This window comes from Homo sapiens, chromosome 5 (assembly GCF_000001405.40).
Source record: "Homo sapiens chromosome 5, GRCh38.p14 Primary Assembly".
NCBI classification, from domain to species: Eukaryota; Metazoa; Chordata; class Mammalia; order Primates; family Hominidae; genus Homo; species Homo sapiens.
In genome coordinates, this window is record NC_000005.10 from 37,227,507 (window position 1) to 37,248,137 (window position 20,631).

Here is a 20,631-nt window from a genome sequence, read left to right on the forward strand (position 1 = left end):
AAAGTTTTAAATTTGAAAAGAAAAAGGCAACTTTCCCCAATGATATAAAAAAGCACTATACCTTAGACAATATCACACTTTGATATATTTTCTCAAGCCTCTGGGTTGAATCAAGTAGAAGTGATCTCATGTGTACTGATGGAGATAGGCTATCAAGAAATCGAAGGGTTGTGACCATATATCCATCAGATATAACGAGGTAGGGTAACCGTGAGTGTGCTTTTATAGAAAATCTCTGTCTCATAGGGTCACTATCAGAAGCTGATGAATCAACAGAATTATTTGAATCTTGAAACGTAAACTGCTGTGGTCTAGTAAACAAACATCAAAATACAAGAATCAGTAAGAGAAAGATCTTACGGAAAACAATAATGTTTTTCAAAAAAGAAGAAAAAGTTACAGAACAATGAAAAAGCAAGCAAGTGAAACACACAAAAATATTAAATGTGTTTATATCTTTCAGGAAAACATAACACAGGATAAAGACAAAATAATATATAGGTTCATGTGTTTTAAAATTTTCCTAAATGGTAGCATTTATTCTATTTTGTATTTATCTACATACAACCTATTTCAGAAAATAATTCAGGCAGTTTATTTTTACTATTAAAGAGAGTTAAATAGTTAACTTTCCTCTTACCATATATTTAAATATGCTTACACAAATAAAATTATGAACTATCAGTATACTTTTTATTAAAGAGGAGAAAGAAAAAAGTTGAGAAGATTTGGAGAGAATGGTGGTGAGTAAAATTTTACCTATTTAAATTTGAGTTTCCACTTAACTTAAACATACAATATTGTTATTATGATGTACCTGATTCTGATTACTTAATATCACTCCTTATTAAAGTTGGGGCTTTACAAATATAAAAGGAACAAACCATCAAAGTATATTGTAATTTTTTTCTGGTTAGGCAACTATTCAAATACAGATTTTTTTTATTAGCCAAATGGCAACAATAGAAAGTTGGTAATTATAGGACATACACCCCACAGACTTCTGTAGAACCATTAAAAATAATGCCTAACATGGAAAGATGTAAAAGATATACTGTGAAATCAAAAATGGAAAATAGTAAACAGGATATATCACATTATCTAGTTTTTAAAAAAGAAACTAATATTGCTATTATCATTGTTATATGAATATTTTTAAAATGTGGGGGACAACATACTAAAATGTTAATAATTGTTACCTTTGAAGTATAGGATTACAAGTATTTAGTTTTCCACATTATTTAATTTTGTAACATTTGATTTTTGAGTGCTAAAATAAATAATGAATACTATACTTTCATAATCAGAAAAAAAGCAGTTTGGAAGGCCCCAAATATTAATTTTAAAGGAGAATATGAGAAAATTCTAATGAATTATGAATTAGACCATAACAAGTAAGGAAAAAATACTTTCACTGCAGGAAGTGACACGTTTTTCCATTAGCATTGCCAATTGCTAAAAATTGTCATTTTTGGGAGGCTGAGGCGGGCGGATCACGAGGTTAGGAGTTTGAGACCAGCCCGACCAATACGGTGAAACCCCATCTCTAGTAAAAATACAAAAATTATCTGGGCGTGGTGGCGCGCGCCTGCAATTCCAGCTACTCAGGAGGCTGAGGCAGAATTTCTTGAACACGGGAGGTGGTGGTTGCAGTAAGCCGAGATCACACCACTACACTCCAGCCTTGGTAACAGAGTGAGACTCGGTCTCAAAAAAAAAAAAAAAAATTAAATTAAATGTCATTTTTGCTAAATATAATCGAGGAGGCCGGGCGCGGTGGCTCAAGCCTGTAATCCTAGCACTTTGGGAAGCCGAGGCGGGAGGATCACAAGGTCAGTTTGAGACCATCCTGGCCAACATGGTGAAACCCCGTCTCTAAAAAATTAGCTGGGCGTGGTGGCGGGCGCCTGTAGTCCCAGCTACTCGGGAGGCTGAGGCAGGAGAATGGCATGAACCCAGGAGGCGGAGCTTGCAGTGAGCCGAGATGGCGCCACCGCACTCCAGCCTGGGGGACAGAGCGAGACTCTGTCTCAAAATAAATAAATAAATAATAAATATAAATATAATCAAGTAAACACCCTACCTCAGTTTCCTTTCTATAAAGCAAACGGAATAGATTAATTTCAAATGTCTTTTCCAACTTTTCTGTCTTGTAAACAGTTATGCATATGTGTCTAGCCACATATAATCAACATCAATAACAACAAATATTTACTGAGCACTAACTTTATGCCAGACAGTGCTGATTTATAATTATGTATTACCTTACTTCATTCTCTAAACCCTAAGACACAATTAGCGTCACACTGCTTTCATAGTAAAAGAAACTGAGGCTTAAAGAATAACTCTTCTGCAAGATGGGAGATCAAAATAAATTTTTAAAAATAAAAAAATTGGTACAGGCTCATGCCTGTACTTCTAGCACTTTGGGAGGCCAAGGCGGGTGGATCACCTGAGGTCAGGAGTTCCAGACCAGCCTGACCAACATGGTGAAACCCCGTCTCTACTAAAAATACAAAATTAGCCAGGCATGGTGGCACATGCCTATAATACCAGCTACTTGGGAGGCTGAGGCAGGAGAATCGCTTGAACCCGGGAGAGGGGGTTGCAGTGAGCCGAGATCACACCACTGCACTCCAGCCTGGGCAACAAGAGCGAAACTCCGTCTCAAGAAAAAAAAAATAAATAAAACTAAGAATGAAAATTTAAAAATTGAAAAAAAAAAAAAGAATAACTAACCCAAAGTCATACAACTAATAAGTAAAAGAACCGGTATGTGAATCTTGATCTGACTCCAAAGCCAAATTGCTACTTCATCTCACAAGTAAAAATTATAATATGACACATGCTATCCAAGTAACAAAATATCACATGTATCCCATAAATATGTAAAATATTGTATATCAATAAAAAAAATTTTAAAACAACAACAAAAATTAAAATACGGCTAAATCCTACAGTTTTCTATCCATTTCCAATAACTTTTTCCCTTTGGGAAAAAAGTAGATAAATCCATATGTCAAGTTAATTTTGAGTTATTAATTTTCTAAGTGCTATTATTTTATAACAATAAATGCTATATCATACTTTATTAACTTTTATATCAAAGAAGATAATTTTTCGTGCTATTAAATATTTAAATAACTTATACTTACATAGTCACAATGTCAAATTTTCACCAGGATTAAGCCACAAAAAGAAACAGAAGAAAACTACAAATAAGAAACAGATATTGAGATGACAGACTCAAAGAAAAAGTAAGACAATTTGAAAGATGAAATTTTTTTTGAATACACAGTAAAAGTAATACAAAACAGAAAAAAAATCTATAAACAAATTAACACAATTCAAATGTCTCACCTATACGTTATTAGTGGATGAAGAGGAATAAATTCTGCTGGGCCAAATTCTATAGAGCAACCAAATGTAATTAATGTTAGCAATTCACCTTGGCAGGTCAATAAAACCAGAGAGCCACGTTTTAACATACAAGCCAGAAAAAGACTATCATGCGTCCAGCTGATATCACCTACCCAGTAGGACCTATAATAAATAAGAGACAACATGTTTAGAAGAGATACTTTACAATGTCTATGACGATTTAAAATGGGCTGTACCAAGCAGAGGTGTGAAAGTTCAAAAAATGAGGGCAAAAGAATGACTAATAGTAGACAATTGCCATACACATTTCATGAATTTTACTTCCTAGAACAAAGGAGTTTGCTCATAAACATCTATTTCAACAATATTCCAATTAGAAATTCATAAGCAATTAAAAAACGAAAATATTCGGCCAGGCACCGTGGCTCAAGCCTGTAATCCCAGCACTTTGGGAGGCCGAGGCAGGCGGATCAACTGAGGTCAGGAGTTCAAGACCAGCCTGGCCAACACCGTCTCTACAAAAATACAAATAAGCCAGGCGTGGTGGCGGGTGCCCATAATCCCAGCTACTGGGGAGGCTGAGGCAGGAGAATGGCTTGAACTGGGGAGGCAGAGGTTGCAGTGAGCCGAGATCATACCACTGCACTCCAGTCTGGGACACAGAGAAAAAATATATATATATTCCTAAAGAACTGAGTTTTTTAGTCACTCACATATTAGAATGAATTTTAATCCTAGTAGAGTCTACAATCAAGATCTACTGATAGATTTCAAGGCCACATCTGTCCTCTCTGCAGGCTGTTAGAGTCCCTCTCAACAGCAGACTCTCCCTCTTCCCAAAGCTCTAACTGGTACTACTCCTTAACTATTTCGTGATTTTTTAATTTATTTTATTTTTATTTTTTAAAATTTTATATTTTAACCCTTATTCCCGTCTTTTCACAGGTGTTGATATCTGGTGATACTAATGTTTAATGAGACAAACAGTAGGTCCTCCTCAGAAAATGACAGACACTAAATCAAAAAGACCACTGAACTGAGACTAATACTTTCAAAGTATTATGAATAATATGAATGAGAAATTTACCAAAGAGAAAGGAACTTGTGGAAAGTAAAAGAAAATGAAGAGGCAGGGCTAGATAAACCTAAAAACTCTGAAAATGCATAGAACAGCATGGAAAAGTATTCAGAAAAGGAAGTTAGAAGCTGTAAGAGGAAATTCTCCTACTCTGTAATTTTGCATGGATCCTGGTGGTAGCTCATATGCCATCCCAAATCAACACTTATGTTACTATTGACTCAGATGTACAGGATACATATGTAGGGACTTGTTTAAAAAACTAGGCTTGGCCAGGCACGGTGGCACAGGCCCATAATCCCAACACTTTGGGAGGCCGAGGCAGGTGGATCACGAGGTCAGGAATTCAAGACCAGCCTGGCCAAGATGATGAAACCCCGTCTCCACTAAAAATACAAAAAAATTAGCCAGGCATGGTGGTGGGCACCTGTAATCCCAGCTACTCGGGAGGCTGAGGCAGAGAAGTGCTTGAACCCGAGAAGCAGAGGTTGCAGTGAGACGAGATCGCACTACTTCACTCCCACCTGGACGACAGAGCAAGACTCCATCTTGGGGGAAAAAAAAAAAAAAAAAAAGACTAGGCTCTCTCGGCCAGGTGCAGTGGCTGACATCTGTAATCACAGTATTTTGGGAGGCCAAGGTGGGAGAATTGCATAAGGTCAGGAGTTCAAGACCAGCCAGGGCAACATAGCAAGACCCTGGCTCTACCAAAAAAAAACAAAAAAACAGTCGTGGTGGCGTGCACCTGTAATCCCAGCTACTTGGGAAGTTGAGGCAGGCAGGGGGATAGCTTGAGCCTAGAAGTTTGAGGCTGCAGTGAGCTATGATCACGCCATTGCACTCCAGCCCAGGTAACAGAACAAGACCTTGTTGCAAAAAAAAAAAAAAAAAAAAAAAGAAAGACACTCAGCTCAAGATAGCTGACTAGACACAGGTAGCATGTAACTCCTCCATGGAGAGGAACCATGGACTGTCCACTTACTATTAAGTAGTAAGTAAGACTAAGAGTGGGAAAAGGCTCCTGAACACAGGGAAACAGTAAGAGAAAAATCCACAGGGCTTCATACCCCAAAACAGGCTTTCATAACCTCTGAGTGGGAGAAACCCTCAACCCACTAGGGCTTTGGGCCTGACACATGGAGCTGCCTAAAGAATGCTCAGAGACATTGCTCCAGAAAGGGAAAACACATGGAATCCCACAGGCATCCAAGCCTAGAGCAGCGTCAGAAAGCCTAGATACCAGGGATCTACAGACTTGGCTGCTACTGCACTGCTTCAGGGAGGAAGAGGGGAGACCAGGCACTCTCAGGCACTCCTGGGAGGCTCCCTATCACCCTGCTGTGGGCTGCTGTTGAGACTGAGATGTGAGCAGGCTGCACTTCTCACAGCTTCTTGCCTACACTGCTTGCCTGGGAGGGATACCACCCTCTCTGGTCCCAGGCCCAAGGTACCATTTTGACTGTTTAGAGCTGGGCTACGTCCCACCCTTGGGCTGAGTTTGGGTTGAGGTGGCTGCAGTCACCACCCAACTCAGGGAACAGGGGAGACCAAGCTCTCCGAAGCACACTTAGGAGAATACCCACCACCCTGCCACAGAGCAGCTATGTCATGGGGGACTAGTCCCCCCAAACCATCACAACTTCCAGTAACTCCAACATGGACTACTTGGGTCCCAGTGGGTTGCTTCACCACTACTACTGCCATCGCCCACACCATACCAGATACCCAGGGGCCTGAGAAACCACTCACACACCTAGACCACCACTCCGACTACTAGTTTCTAAGCATGCCACCTGGAAGCCCAAGAATCAGCCTTCAGGACCCATCAATACCAGGGCCAGTATAAGGTGGTCTAGGGCCTAAAAACAGGCACACTCACCCCACTGCTGCCACTACTAGGGCCTGAAGACTGGCTCAGTTGTTGTCCAAGTCCCTAACAAAACTTCACCATAACCCCAACTAATAACTACACCTTAAGCCACTGAGGAAATCACAGGTGCCACCAACCCTGTGTACTACTGAAGAAGTCATACAAAGATTACACTACTACAAGTATGCAAAATCAAAGCCAAAGTATCCTACTCAATCAACAACATACATACATCTTCAGGAAAAAAATTCTCCTCTATAAAAGCATTTTCAAAAAATTAAAACAAGCAACGGCTGTACCAGATGCACAGACATCAATGGAATGCCACAGAAAACATAAGAAAAGCAAGGAGATATGACACCACCAAAGGACCACAAAAATTGTCCGGTAATAGATGCCAATCAAAAATAATTCCCCCAAAATGCCAGAGAAATAATTCAAAATACCGATTTTGAAGAAGCTCAATGAGATGCAAGAAAATCTGAAAACCAATACAAAGAAATCGGAAAATCAATATGAATGAGAAATTTACCAAGGAGAAAGATTAAAAAAAAAAAAAAGAAATTCTGGAAATAAAAAATGAATTGAAGGAAATATAAAATACATTCAAAAGATTAAATAATAGACTACACCAAGCAAAAGAAAGAATCTCAGTCAGACAAAAATAAGAAAAAAAAAAAAAGAATGAACAAAGCCTTCAAGAGGTCTGGGAGTACAAAAAGTGAGTGAACTTATAAATTATCAGTATTCCTGAAGGGTAAGAGAGATCAAAAAGTGCCGAAAACCTATTTAAAAGAATAATAAATGAAAACTTCCTAAGTCTAGCAAGAGAGTTAGACATTCAGATACAGGAGGCCCAGTGATCCCCATGCAAATACATAGCAAAAAGGACTCCACCAGCGGCTATTATATTCAGAATGTGTTAAATCAAAGGGAAAGAAAGAATTTTAAAATTAGCAAAAGAAAAGAGTCCAGTCACCTATAAAAGAAACTCATCAATTTCCTCTAGGTTTTGTAGTTTGTGAGTGTATTATTTCATAATAGTCTTAATAGACGTTGTTCTGTGGTATCAACTATAATGTTTAGAACTGGAACAATACAAGGATGCCTACTTTTACCACACCTATTCAACATAATGCTAGAAGTCCTAGTCAGAGCAATCAGGCAAGATAAAAAAATAAATAAAAGGCATCCAAATTATCACTCTTCACTGACAATATAATCTTATATCTAGAAAACCCTAAAGACTCCACAAAAACTCTTAGATTTGATAAATGAATATAGTAAGATTTCAGGATACTTTATATTAACAAGATGAATATACAGAAATCAGTAGAAAATACACCAATAACTATGTAGCCAAGGAGTGAATCAAGAAGGCAATCCCATTAACATTAGCTACTAAAAATAAAAGAAAATACCTAGCAATATATTTAACCAAGAAGGTAAAAGATCTCTATGAGGAGAACACTGATAAAAGAAATTATAATTATAAAACGCTGATAAGAGAAATTGTAGATGACATAAACAAATGGAAAAGCATCTCATGCTTATGGATTAAAAGGCCAATATCATTAAAATGAACATACTGCCCAAATAAATCTACAGATTCAATGCAATCTCTATCAAATTACCAGCGCCATTTTTCACATAATTAGAAAAAACAATCCTAAAACTCGTATGGAACCAAAAACAAAAGAACAAAGCTGGAGGTATCATATTATCTAATTTCTTTTTTTTTTTTTTTTTTTTTTTGCAATGGAGTCTCGTTCTGTCACCCAGGCTGGAGAGCAGTGGTACAATTTCGACTCACTGCAACCTCTGCCTCCCAGGTTCAAGCGATTCTCCTGCCTCAGCCTCCTGAGTAGCTGGGATTACAGGGGCACACCATCACACCAGCTAATTTTTGTATTTTTACTAGAGACAGGGTTTCACCATGTTGGTCAGGCTGGTCTCGAACTCCTGACCTCGTGATCCGCCCACCTTGGCCTCCCAAAGTGCTGGGATTACAGGCATGAGCCACTGTGCCCAGCACTTTTTTTTTTTTTTTTTGGACAGAGTTTCACTCTTGTTGCCCAGGCTGGAGTGCAACGGTGCAATCTCGGCTCACCACAACCTCCACCGCCAGGGTTCAAGTGATTCTCTTGCCTCAGCCTCTTCAGTAGCTGGGATTACAGGCATGCACCACCACACCTGGCTAATTTTACAAAATCCAATTTAGTAGAGACAGGGTTTCTCCATGTTGGTCAGTATGGTCTCCAACTCCCGAACTCAGGTGATCCACCCACCTTGGCCTCCCAAAGTGCGTTAGCCACCATGCCCAGCCTACTAATTTCAAATTATACTACAAGGCTATAGCAGCCAAAACAGCATGGTACTGGTATAAAAACAGCACACAGATAAATGTAACAGAATACAGAACCCAGAAATAAAGCCACATAGCTACAACCAACTGATCTTCAGCAAAGTCGATAAAAATATACACTGGGGAAAGGACACCCTATTCAATAAAAATAGTGCTGGGAAAATTGGATAGATGTGCAGAAGAATGAAACTGGACCCATACCTCTCATCATATACAAAAATTAACTCAAGATGGATTAAAGACCTAAACATAAGGCCTGAAACTAAAAAAATCCTAGAAGAAAACCTAGGAAAAACTCTTCTGGACATTGGGCTAGGCAAAGAATTTATGACCACATCCTCAAAAGCAAACACAACAAAAACAGACAAATGAGAATTAATTAACTTAAAAAGCTTCTGCACAGCAAAAGACACAATTGAAGTAAAAAGGCAACCTACAAAATGGGAGAAAATATTTGCACACTATGTGTCTGACAAAGGGCTAATATCTAGGATCTATGAGAAACTAAGACAACTCAACAAGCAAAAAAAAAAAAAACCTCATTAAAAACTGGGCAAAGGACATGAACAGACATTTCTCAAAAGACATACAATCAGCCAATAAACATATGAAAAAATGCTCAACATCACTAATCATCAGAGAAATGCAAATTAAAACCACAACGAGATAACATACCAGTCAGAATGGCTATTACTAAAAAGTCAAAAAACAACATGTTGGCAAGTATGCAGAGGAAAGGGAACATGGGAACATGTTTCTCATGGGAACGTGAGAAAAGGGAACAAACATGATTGGTGGGAACGCAAATTAGTACAATCATTATGGTATAGAGATTTCTCAAAGAACCAAAATAGGAACTACCATTCAATCTAGTAATCCCACTATTGGGTATATACCCAAAGGGAAAGAAATCATTATATCAAAAAGATACTTGCACTCACACGTTTATCACATCACTATTCACAATAGCAAAGATAGAGAATCAACAGAACCATCTATCAACAAAGGATTGGATAAAGAAAATGTGGTGTGTGTATATATATGTATCATGGAATGCTACTCTGCCATAAAACAAATGAAGTCATGTCTTTTGCAGTAACATGGATGGAACTGGAGGTCATTATCCTAGGTAAAATCACTCAGAAACAGAAAGTCAAATACTACATATTCTAACTTATAAGTAGGGACTAAACAATGGGTACACATGGACATACAGAGTGGAATAATAGGCATTGGAGACTACTAAAAGACGGGAGGGGAGTGAGGGTTGAAAAATTATCTGTTGGGTACAATGTTCACTATTAATACTAAAAGCCCACACTTCACCACTACACAACATATGCATGTAAGAAATATGCACCTATGGCCAGGCACGGTGGCTTACGCCTGTAATCCGAGCACTTTGGGAGGCCAAGGCGAGTGGATCACGAGGTCAGGAGATTGAGACCATCCTGGCTAACACGGTGAAACCCCATCTCTACTAAAAAAAATACAAAAAAATTATCCGGGCATGGTGACGGGCGCCTTTAATCCCAGCTACGCGGGAGGCTGAGGCAGGAGAATGGCGTGAGCCCGGGAGGCAGAGCTTGCAGTTAGCCGAGATCACACCACTGCACTCCAGCCTGGGTGACAGAGTGAGACTCCATCTCAAAAAAAAAAAAGTATTTAAGGCCTTCCTTATATAAAGTGACTTTTAGGCTGGGCATGATGGCTCAGGCCTGTAATCCCAGCACTTTAGGAGGCCAAGATGGGAGGATCACTTAAGGCCAGAAGTTCAAGACCAGCATGGTCAATATAGCAAGACCCTGTCTCTACAAAAAACTTTAAAAAAATTAGCTACATACAGTGACACACACCTGTAGTCCCAGCTACTCAGAAGGATGAGGAAGGAATGACTGAGCCCGAGAGTTCAACGCTGCAGTGAGCTATGATCACACCACTACACTCCAGCTTGGGCAATAAGTAAGACCCCATCTTTTTTTGTGTGTGTGTGACAGAGTCTCCCTCTGTCATCCAGGCTGGAGTGCAGTAGTGCGATCTCAGCTCATGGCAACCTCCGCCTCCTGGGTTCAAGCAATTCTTATGCCTCAACCTCCCAAGTAGCTGGGACTACAGGAACATGCCACCACACTTGGCTAATTTTTTTTTTTTGTATTTTTTTTAGTAGAGATGGGGTTTCACCATTTTGGCCAGGCTGGTCTCAAACTCCTGACCTCAGGTGATCCACCTACCTCAGCCTCCCAAAGTGCTGGGATTACAGGCGTGAGCCACAGCGCCCAGCCTTTTCTTTTTTTTTTTTTTTTTTTTTTTTTGAGATAGGGTCTTGCTCTGTTGCTCAGACTGGAGTGCAGTGGCAAGATCATAGCTCACTGCAGCCTCTATCACCCACGTTCAGGTGATACCCCCTAGCTCAGCCTCTCAAGTAGCTGGGACTACAGGTGTCCACCACCATGCTCGGCTAATTTCTTTTTATTTTTTAGTAAAGATGAGGTCTCATTATGTTGCCCAAGCTGGTCTCAAACTCCTGAGCTCAAGTGATCCTCTCACCTTGGTTTCCCAAAGTGCTAGAATTACAGGTGTGAGCTACCACACCTGACAGAGACCCATCTCTTTTAAAAGAAAAAAAGAAAAAAAAGACAGACAAAAGAGTTCTTACCTAATAAGTGTAGCTGGAACCACGGGACTCTTGTTACTACATCCTTTAAGGCTACCACAGAGAGTAACAAAATTCAGTGTGTTTATAAATAATACCTGAGTTGCCTAGAAAGGAAAAAAAAGACAAGAAAACTATTAAAATTATTTTACTGTAACCATTATTTATAATTCTGGTGACACAGAGATCTATTATTATATTAATAAACTATCTAGGGAGTATTTCCTAACTGGCAAAGCAATATTGACCCCTGGTAGCCTTTGCTCTTTTATGTTCCACCTTAAAAACATTAGTTACCACAATGCTCTTCTTTCCTCTTTTTCCCTTATTCTTTTTTCATTTCTGAAAGCCAAGTTTTGAAAGTTATGGGATCTACTTTAAAGAACTTTACCAATCCACAATGTCAAATTGGATTAAACACCACCAACTTAAAGAATATAAAGCAGGCTGGGCACAGTGGTTCACACCTGTAATCCCAGCACTTTGGGAGGCTGAGGTGGGAGAACTGCTTGAGCTCAGGAATTCAAGACCAGCCTGGGCAATATGGCAAAACCCCATCTCTACCAAAAAAATACAAAAATTAGCCAGGCACGGTGGTATAAGCCTATGGTCTCAGCTACTTGGGGGGCTGAGGTGAGAGGATCACTTGAGCCCAGGAGGTCGAGGCTGCAGCAAGCCATGATCGCACCACTGCACTCCAGCCTAGGCAACAGAGAGAGACCCTGTCAAAAAAAAAAAAAAAAAAAACCAGAAAGAAAAAAAAAATGGATATAAAGGAGTATTTAGAAAAAGAAAAATCTCAAAACTGGAATAAACTCCTTCTTTTATAGATTACTTTCTAAGACAGATATTTACTGACCTTGGGGTCTTTCTGATTAAGAGTTACTGCCAGGGTAAGGCCATCTCTTGAAAAGGCAGAAATTAGAGCTCCTCTTGACTTTACTGATTCACATTTAGGAATTAAACTACAGAGATGACAGTCTTGTTGAGCCCAATGAACATGGTATGGCAATGATCTAAAAAAGTAATGAAATAATTGAAAACAAAAGGTATAGTAACTTTTAAATTTATATGTAGTTCATTACAAAAATTAAAGGATCCATCCAAATTCCTACATGTGCACATGTACTTAGGGAATATTTTAGAGACTATGTTAATCCATTGTGTTGCTGTAAAGGAATGCCTGAGACTGAGTAATTTATAAAGAAAAGGGGTTGGCTGGGCACGGTAGCTCACACCTGTAATCCCAGCACTTTAGGAGGCAGAGACGGGTGGATCACTTGAGGCCAGGAGTCTGAGACCAGCCTAGCCAACAGGTGAAATCCCGTCTCTGCTAAAAATACAAAATTACCTGGGCATGGTGGAGTGCACCTGTAATCCAAGCTATTCGGGAGGCTGAGGCAGGAGAATTGCTTGAACCCGGGAGGCGGAGGTCGCAGTGAGCCAAGATCACGCCACTGCACTCCAGCCTGGGCGACAGAGTGAGACTCCATATCAAAGAAAAAAAAGAAAGAAAGAAAGAGAAGGGGTTTATTCGGGCTCACGGTTCTGCAGGCTGTGCAAGCATGGCATCAGCATCTCCTCGGATTCTTGTGAGGGCTTCAGGAAGCTTTTAACCACGGCAGAAAGGAAATGGGGAGCAGCATTTTCCCAAGAGAGGGAGCAAGGGAGAGAAGGAGATTCCAGGCTCTTTTAAACAACCAGATCTCCCGTGAACTCAGAGCAAGAACTCATTACTGTAAGCAGAACACCAAGCCATTCATGAGGGATCTGCCACCTTGACCCAGACATCTCCAACCAGGCCCCACCTCCAACATTCCAACATTAAGGATTATTTTCAACACGAGACTTGGAGGGGACGAACATCCAAACTATATCAGAGACCTTTCAGAAGTCTGTGCACAAAAGAGAACCTGCAGATTAGCTAAATAAATTGAATATCAGAGTTCTGTTAGTAGAGCCATGTTTTTATATGCAACCCCAAATATATTATACCTGCTTCCACTAAAAGTTTGGATAAACGTATTTCTACATAATGCCAAATATTTTTAAAGGAATTTAAAAAGTAGGTCAGGAGTTCGAGACCAGCCTGGCCAATATGGTGAAACCCCATCTCTACTAAAAATACAAAAATTAGCCAGCCGTGGGGGTGCGCACCTGTAGTGTCAGCTACTCGGGAGGCTGAGGCAGAAGAATCGCTTGAACCCAGGAGGCAGAGGTTGCAGTGAGCCGAGATTACGTCACTGCACTCCAGCCTGGGCAACAGAGTGAGACTCTGTCTCAAAAAAAAAATAAAATAAAAAATAAAATGTAGAGAAGGCCAGGCATGGTGGCTAATGCCTGTAATCCCAGCACTTTGGGAGGCCAAGGCGGGCAGATCATTTGAGGTCAGGGGTTCGAGACCAGTCTGGCCAACATGGCGAAACCCCATCTTTACTAAAAATACAAAAAATTAGCTGGGTTTGTTGGCGCATGCCCATAATCCCAGCTACTCAGGAGGCTGAGACAGGAGAATCGCTTGAACCTGGGAGGCAGAAGTTGCAGTGAGCCAAGATTGCACCACCACACTCCAACCTGGGAGACAGAGCAAGACTCTATCTCAAAAATAAATAGATAGATAGATAGATAGATAGGTAGATAGACAGAAAGAAGAGGGAAACTTTGGGGATAGTATCAATGTTCTATAATTGATCCAAGTGATATATACATTTCAAACAATTGTATATATTTTTCAAAGTCTAGTTGTACACTTAAGACTTGTTTATCTTATTTTATTTATTTATTTATTTTCCAGACAGGGTCTCACTCTGTCACCCAGGCTGGAGTGCAGTGGCACGATTTGAACTCACTGCAACCTGGACCTCCTGGGCTTCAGTGATCCTCCCACCTCAGCCTCCCAAGCAGCTGGGACTATAGGCATGCGCCACCATGCTCAGCTAATTTTTTTTATATTTTGTGTAGAGATGGGATTTTGCCATGTTGTCCAGGCTGGTCTTGAACTCCTGGGCTCAAGTGATCCTCCTGCCTCGGCCTCCCAGAGTGCTGGGATTACAGGCATCCACCACCACACTCAGCCAAGATTTGTTCATGTTACTTCATGTAAGTTATATCTTAATATAAAATATAAAAATAAAACAAACAGAAAAATAAAAATAAAAACCACACCACACCATTTTACTCAATCTTACTTAGGCATTGTAAGAAAATAATGCATATTTTCGGCTGGGTGAGGTGGCTCATGCCTGTAATTCCAGCACTTTGGGAGGCTGAGGCAGGCAGATCACAAGGTCAGTAGTTCAAGACCACCTGACTAACATGGTGAAACCCCGTCTCTACTAAAAATACAAAAAGTTAGCCAGGCCTGGTGGCGGGCACCTGTAGTCCCAGCTACTCGGGAGGCTGAGGCAGGAGAATCACTTGAACCCAGGAGGCGGAGGTTACAGTGAGCCAAGATTGCACCACTGCACTCCAGCCTGGGCGACAGAGCAAGACTCCATCTCAAAAAAAAAAAATGCATATTTTCTATTTTATTAGGCTTTTTAGAATAAAACTATTTTTAAATAAAAGAACACTTAAGCATTTAAAAGGTACAATAGGAAATCAAAAGTTATGTCCCTTTTAAATTTCAACTGAATTCTTTTCCAGAATAGTTACTTTTATAGTCTTAGACAAGTAAAACCATAGCTTGTCTTATCTTTTACAAATTCTCACTTCAAAGAAGGGAAACAAGACAAAACAAGATAAACTTTCTGGATTAAACATTTAGAAATAAGAGGGGAAGAAATGATTTGTAAAGCCTCAGAACTTGAAACTCACAATAACATTTACAAATTTTATTACATGTATATGGATCAAAAGATAATAATGTTTAAAAAGGGATAGAAAATATGGGGCCGGGTATGATGCCTCATGCCTGTATTCCCAGCACTTTGGGAGGCCAAGGCAGGAGGACTGCTTGAGCCCAGGAGTGCAAGAACTTGTCTGTTAAAAAAAAAAAAAAAATTAGCCAGGCATGGTGGCACAAACCTGTAGTCACAGGTACTCAGGAGGCTGAGCTATGATTGTGCCACTACCCCCCAGTCTGGGTGACACAGCAAGACCCTGCCTCCAAAAGAAAAAAAAATCAGTAAGAAAAGGAAGAAGAAAACATTTACCTCACCTTACAGATGTAAATACATTCTCATGCCACCGAATTGCTAGAAATGTTAACTTCAGGCATTCCCCAGAATAAAAAGTAAATGAACACAGGCAGCAGTCTCCAAATAACTGTAGATAAATTTAATATACTTTAGTATAAAATTAATCTGAAAATAAATCAAGATACTAAAATACATATATATATTCCTCATCATAAACCAGTAAAAAATATTGAGATCTTGCTTATACTTTTTATCCTTAACATTAAGCTTAAGACTAAGTAATTTTTTTCTGAGCCAGAGGCAGGTCTCAAATGGGTAATCAGGTTGTAGTTTATGCTCTTAAGAAAATACTGACATTGACTGTGACTATAACTGAAAATATTCTTACATATTTATTTTTCTCTTTTTATACTTTTATACTATTTAAATTAGCACACCACCCTGAGAGTGGGGAGAGGGGACAATAAAACTTCAAAGTGAAATTTCTAACAAGAGTGGTTTGGATAATAAAATGCTGGTCCACACATACGAAGAATACCAAGCAGATATTTTAAATACGTTTTGGTTTTTTAAGTTCATGAATCTGTTATTTCCCAGTTAAATCGCATATTTAGTATCATCAATTCTAGCTTGTTAAATTACCAAACAAGCTCTCTCTCTATATATAATATATAAAAAATATATATACATATATAATATATAACATATAAAAATATAATATATAATATACATGTATTATATATAATATATAATATGCATATAATATATATAATATATACATGTTATATACATATATAATATACCATATAATATATAATATATACGATATATATTATATACGTGTATATATATTATATATTATACTTTTTTTTTTTGAGACAGAGTTTCACTCTCGTTGCCCAGGCTGGAGTGTAATGGCACGATCTCGGCTCACTGCAACCTCCGCCTCCCAGGTTCAATCGATTCTCCTGCCTCAGCCTCCTGAGTAGCTGGGATTACAGGCATGTGCCACCACGCCCAGATAATTTTGTAGTTTTAGCAGAGACGGGGTTTCTCCATGTTGGTCAGGCTGGTCTTGAACTCTCGACCTCAGGTGATCCACCCGCCTCAGCCTCCCAAAGTGCTGGGAATACAGGCGTGAGCCACCGCGCCCGGCATAACAAGCTATATTTTTAAATCAAGGATAGAGAAAAGGAGTTCTAAGTTAAAACTAATTTTAATAAACACTTTTTAAAAATGTGACCCAAGAAATATAAAAATATCTTTTCCATACAAGAATTTCACAATTACTATGAAAATTTATGGTGACTAAAGATATATAGTTATACCATTACACACTCTGCTAATCTGCTTCACAGATAAGAGTCTGAGACTGATTTTACCTCATTTTTTATAAAAACAGCATTCACTACAGCTTCTTTATCTTCGGTGGAAGGCAAGAGAACTGCTTCTTCAGGTATGACCTGGGACCACCGACCCGCCAATGAAAGGCTTTTAGAAGATAAGATATTCTTTAATTCCAAATATTCCCAAAGAAATATGCATCCAGAAGGTGTTATGAGCACAATTCTTTTCCCATTTCCAGATACATACAAGTACAGTCTCAAAGAGCTTGCTAAAAAAGTAACAAAAAAAGTAATTAAGCCTCTGAAGTCTGAATTCCCCCCAATAAAGTACATAATTTATGTATTCTTACAATAAAAAAAAAACAAATAATGTTACCATTCAGGATGTCAAAACTAAGGCACTAGCAAAAAATACAATCCAGGCACGGCAGCTCATGCCTGTAATCCCAGCACTTTGGGAGGCTTAAGGAGACGGATCGCTTTAGCCCAAAAGGTCAAAGCTGCAGTGAGCTATGATCATGCCACTATACTTCAGCCTGAGTGACAGAACAAGATCCTGTCTCTAAAAAAGAAAAAAAAAGGCTGGGTGGATCACGAGGTCAGGAGATCAAGACCATCCTGGCTAACACGGTGAAACCCCGTCTCTACTAAAAATACAAAAAAATTAGCCGGGCATGGTGGCTGGCGCCTGTAGTCCCAGCTACTCGGGAGGCTGAGGCAGGAGAATGGCGTGGACCCCGGAGGCGAGTGAGCTGAGATCCCACCACTGCACTCCAGCCTGGGCGACAGAGCGAGACTCCGTCTCAAAAAAAAGAAAAAAAAAAGTACAAAAATAGCAACATTTATCAAGTATATATTATGTGATATTAGAAACCTATTATTATCACAGAAATGTTAGGCATGCCAGAATTTTCTTCTTCAAGTTGAGTCTCAGTATCACAGATAAACATAACCAAAACTATATATATATATATATATATATATATATATATATATATATATATATATATATACACACACTCAGATATACATATGCACATACACAGAAATACATTTTCAAGACAGTAACAGAAAAATGTTTCATCCTCTTTTCCTATTTTTCCTAGTTAAACCAACTTAAACAAATAAAAAAATTCCCACCGACTGTAGCTTTGATCATTTCCTTAGGCTTTTCAGTTATTGGTATAGTTTTCAAACAATCTTGATCTTTGTTCCAAAGGAAAAGCTCTCCTGTAGTTAGTACCCCAGCCAGCCAGGCATCTGTTTCCAAAAATGAAATGCAATACTTACAATCTAGTATTTCCTTTAACATCACCCTAAGTTATTAAAAAATATAGTTTTAGCCATTTGAAAATATCAGTACTACTTAACCATTACTGGATGTTGTTAGGACAATAACATCCTTCAAGAAAGGCTGCAGACTAGGAATTTTCTTCTTTATCTTTCCTGATAGCAAATTAATTTCATTTATGAATTTATCATCCAAAAGAAAAACGGCTTCTTTTTCCTAAGAGAAGAAACATGTGAAGGACTCAAGAGGTGCCAGAAATTAATTCAACTTACTGCCTAAATAAATTATCCCAGAAATCAAAGCGACATTTAAGAAAGATTATCCATTTGTACCACAAATCATAAAATGAACATTAAGCTTAATACTCTATAGTAGCCTGAACATTTTGAATTGTTTTAAAATACCTCGTTAGAATTAATAGGTAAGGCTACCTAGTAGTTGTATTTCAATTTCTTTGAAGTTTAAAATTATAGGAGTGTCCTCTAATTCTGCTAGCCAAAACTGGCTTATCTACTTTTTAATCTTTTTTTTTTTTTTTTTTTAAGAGCTGAGGTCTCACTTTGTTGCCCAGCCTTAAGTGGAGTAGATATTTACAGGCACTATCCCACTACTAATAAGCATGAGAGTTTTGACCTGGCCCATTTCTGACCTGGACCAGTTCACCATTCTTAGGCAACCTGGTGGTTACCCCAGCCCCTTGATCTCGGGAGGTCATCATATTGATACCGAATTTAGTGCAGACACGTAATCGGTATAGCACACTGCAGCCCAGAACTCCTGGGCTCAAGCGATCCTCTTGCCTTAGCCTCCTGAGTAGCTGGGACCACAGGTGCATACCACTGAACCTGACTCTCATCAATTTTAACAGTAGTATGAGCAAGTTTTTAAATTATTTACTTAGATTAAAATAGATATAGCTTCTGAAATTCATAAATCCCTGACTCTGCTCATTTTTTATTACCTAGAAAAAGTAGGCTGTTTTGAGTTAACTTTGTTTTCATATATTCTAAGGCAGTGATTTTCAAGGTATAACTGAGCCAGCAGCATCAGCAACACCTCAGAAGTGAGGAGTTCAAGACCAGCCTGACCAACATGGTGAAACCCCTAGCCTCTACTAAAAATATAAAAATTAGCTGGGCATGGTGGCATGCGTCTGTAATCCCAGCTATTCAGGAGGCTGAGGCAAGACAATCGCTTGAACCTGGGAGGCTGAGGTTGCAGTGAGCCGAGAGGATGCCATTGCGTCCAGCCTGGGCAACAGAGCGAGACTCCATCTCAAAAAATAAAAATAAAAAAATACAAAATATCCAACCCTACAGCAGACCTAATTAACTGAAAACTTTGGGAACAGGGCCCAGCAATCTGTGTTTTAACCACCTCTCCAGATAGTTCTGATAGTTTGAGAACTCCTGTTACAGGGGAGTTAGTGGTATAATTTCTCACAGGAAATTTAACACTTTATTTCAATAATCATCACAAATAAAGTAGGGTTGCCTACTTTCCCTAAGTGGGGAATCTATGCCATATATTATGAATGGCATTCCTGGATTACTAACGTATTGTGGCCCATTTCTTCCATCCTAGTTTCCAAGAACACTTCATAGCACAATCATGAAAACCACAATAGGAGGAAACACTCCATTAACTGTTCCAGTAAAGGAAAGCTCAGGACATTAAATATTCCCTTTTGATATATGCCATCTCAACTTAACTTAAACTTGACTTAAACATAATATGAAAAAAATAGTTTAAGTAAAAATCTTCTAAATAAACCACTTAACATTCTGGAAAAGCTAACTTGCTCATTATAATAAAAACGAAACACACACAAAACCCTGTTCAGTGTGCAGGTAGGTGATCCTCCTGTAGATCCTCCTCCAGTAGATGATGTTTTATTTATTTAAGATCATAGAACACTCCTATATTACAGGCAAAACACACATATAACATATATAAAACTGGTATTGCATGAATAAAGAAAAACCTACCTTTCCCAACCAGGAGACACGTGGCCATGGTTTTTTCTGCTTAATACCTGTTGATGTCAAGATTTCTAATCTTATCTCCATGTTTGTTAAGCTATCAATGACCAATTAAGTAAAACAGTCCCAAGATTCTGTAAACAATAATAGTAATAAAATATAAATGATGCATAATATTCACTGGGCATTTTTTTTTTTTTTTTGAGACAAGAGTTTCGTTCTGTTGCCCCAGCTGGAGTGCAGTGATATGATCTCAGCTCACTGCAACCTCCGCCTCCCGGATTCAAGTGATTCTCCTGCGTTAGCCTCCCGAGTAGCTGGGACTACAAGCGTGTGCCACCACGCCTGGCTAATTTTAAGTAGAGATGGGGTTTCACCATGTTGGCCAGGCTGGTCTCAAACTCCTGACTTCAAGTGATCCATCCACTTCGTCCTCCCAAAGTGCTGGGATAACAGGCACGATCCACTGCGCATGGACCACTGAAGATCTTAACTGACAATTTTCATAAAGTTTTGATTTATATTT

The 20,631-nt window shown here is 39.0% G+C and overlaps 1 protein-coding gene and 1 pseudogene across 49 annotated transcripts in view; both read right to left on the reverse strand.

The window, feature by feature from the left end:
- The window catches only part of CPLANE1 (ciliogenesis and planar polarity effector complex subunit 1), a 173,708-nt gene that overhangs the window by 151,838 nt on the left and 1,239 nt on the right, over window positions 1-20,631 (reverse strand). For 41 of the 49 annotated variants that reach the window (XM_047417575.1, XM_047417572.1, XM_047417573.1 and 38 more), the window contains exons 2-10: window positions 20,112-20,239; window positions 18,204-18,339; window positions 17,973-18,092; window positions 16,869-17,101; window positions 15,507-15,613; window positions 12,207-12,363; window positions 11,351-11,454; window positions 3,361-3,543; window positions 62-311 (exon numbers count right to left, since the gene is read on the reverse strand). In XM_047417575.1, the coding sequence (XP_047273531.1) occupies window positions 62-311; window positions 3,361-3,543; window positions 11,351-11,454; window positions 12,207-12,363; window positions 15,507-15,613; window positions 16,869-17,101; window positions 17,973-18,092; window positions 18,204-18,339; window positions 20,112-20,192 (1,371 nt within the window). In that variant the 5' untranslated portion in view covers window positions 20,193-20,239. Of the gene's footprint in view, window positions 1-61; window positions 312-3,360; window positions 3,544-11,350; window positions 11,455-12,206; window positions 12,364-15,501; window positions 15,614-16,868; window positions 17,102-17,972; window positions 18,093-18,203; window positions 18,340-20,111; window positions 20,240-20,631 lie in introns of those variants that run through there. The other 8 variants (XM_047417570.1, XM_047417566.1, XM_047417567.1 and 5 more) reach the window with 5 other exon arrangements.
- RN7SL37P (RNA, 7SL, cytoplasmic 37, pseudogene) lies at window positions 18,667-18,973 on the reverse strand (annotated as a pseudogene).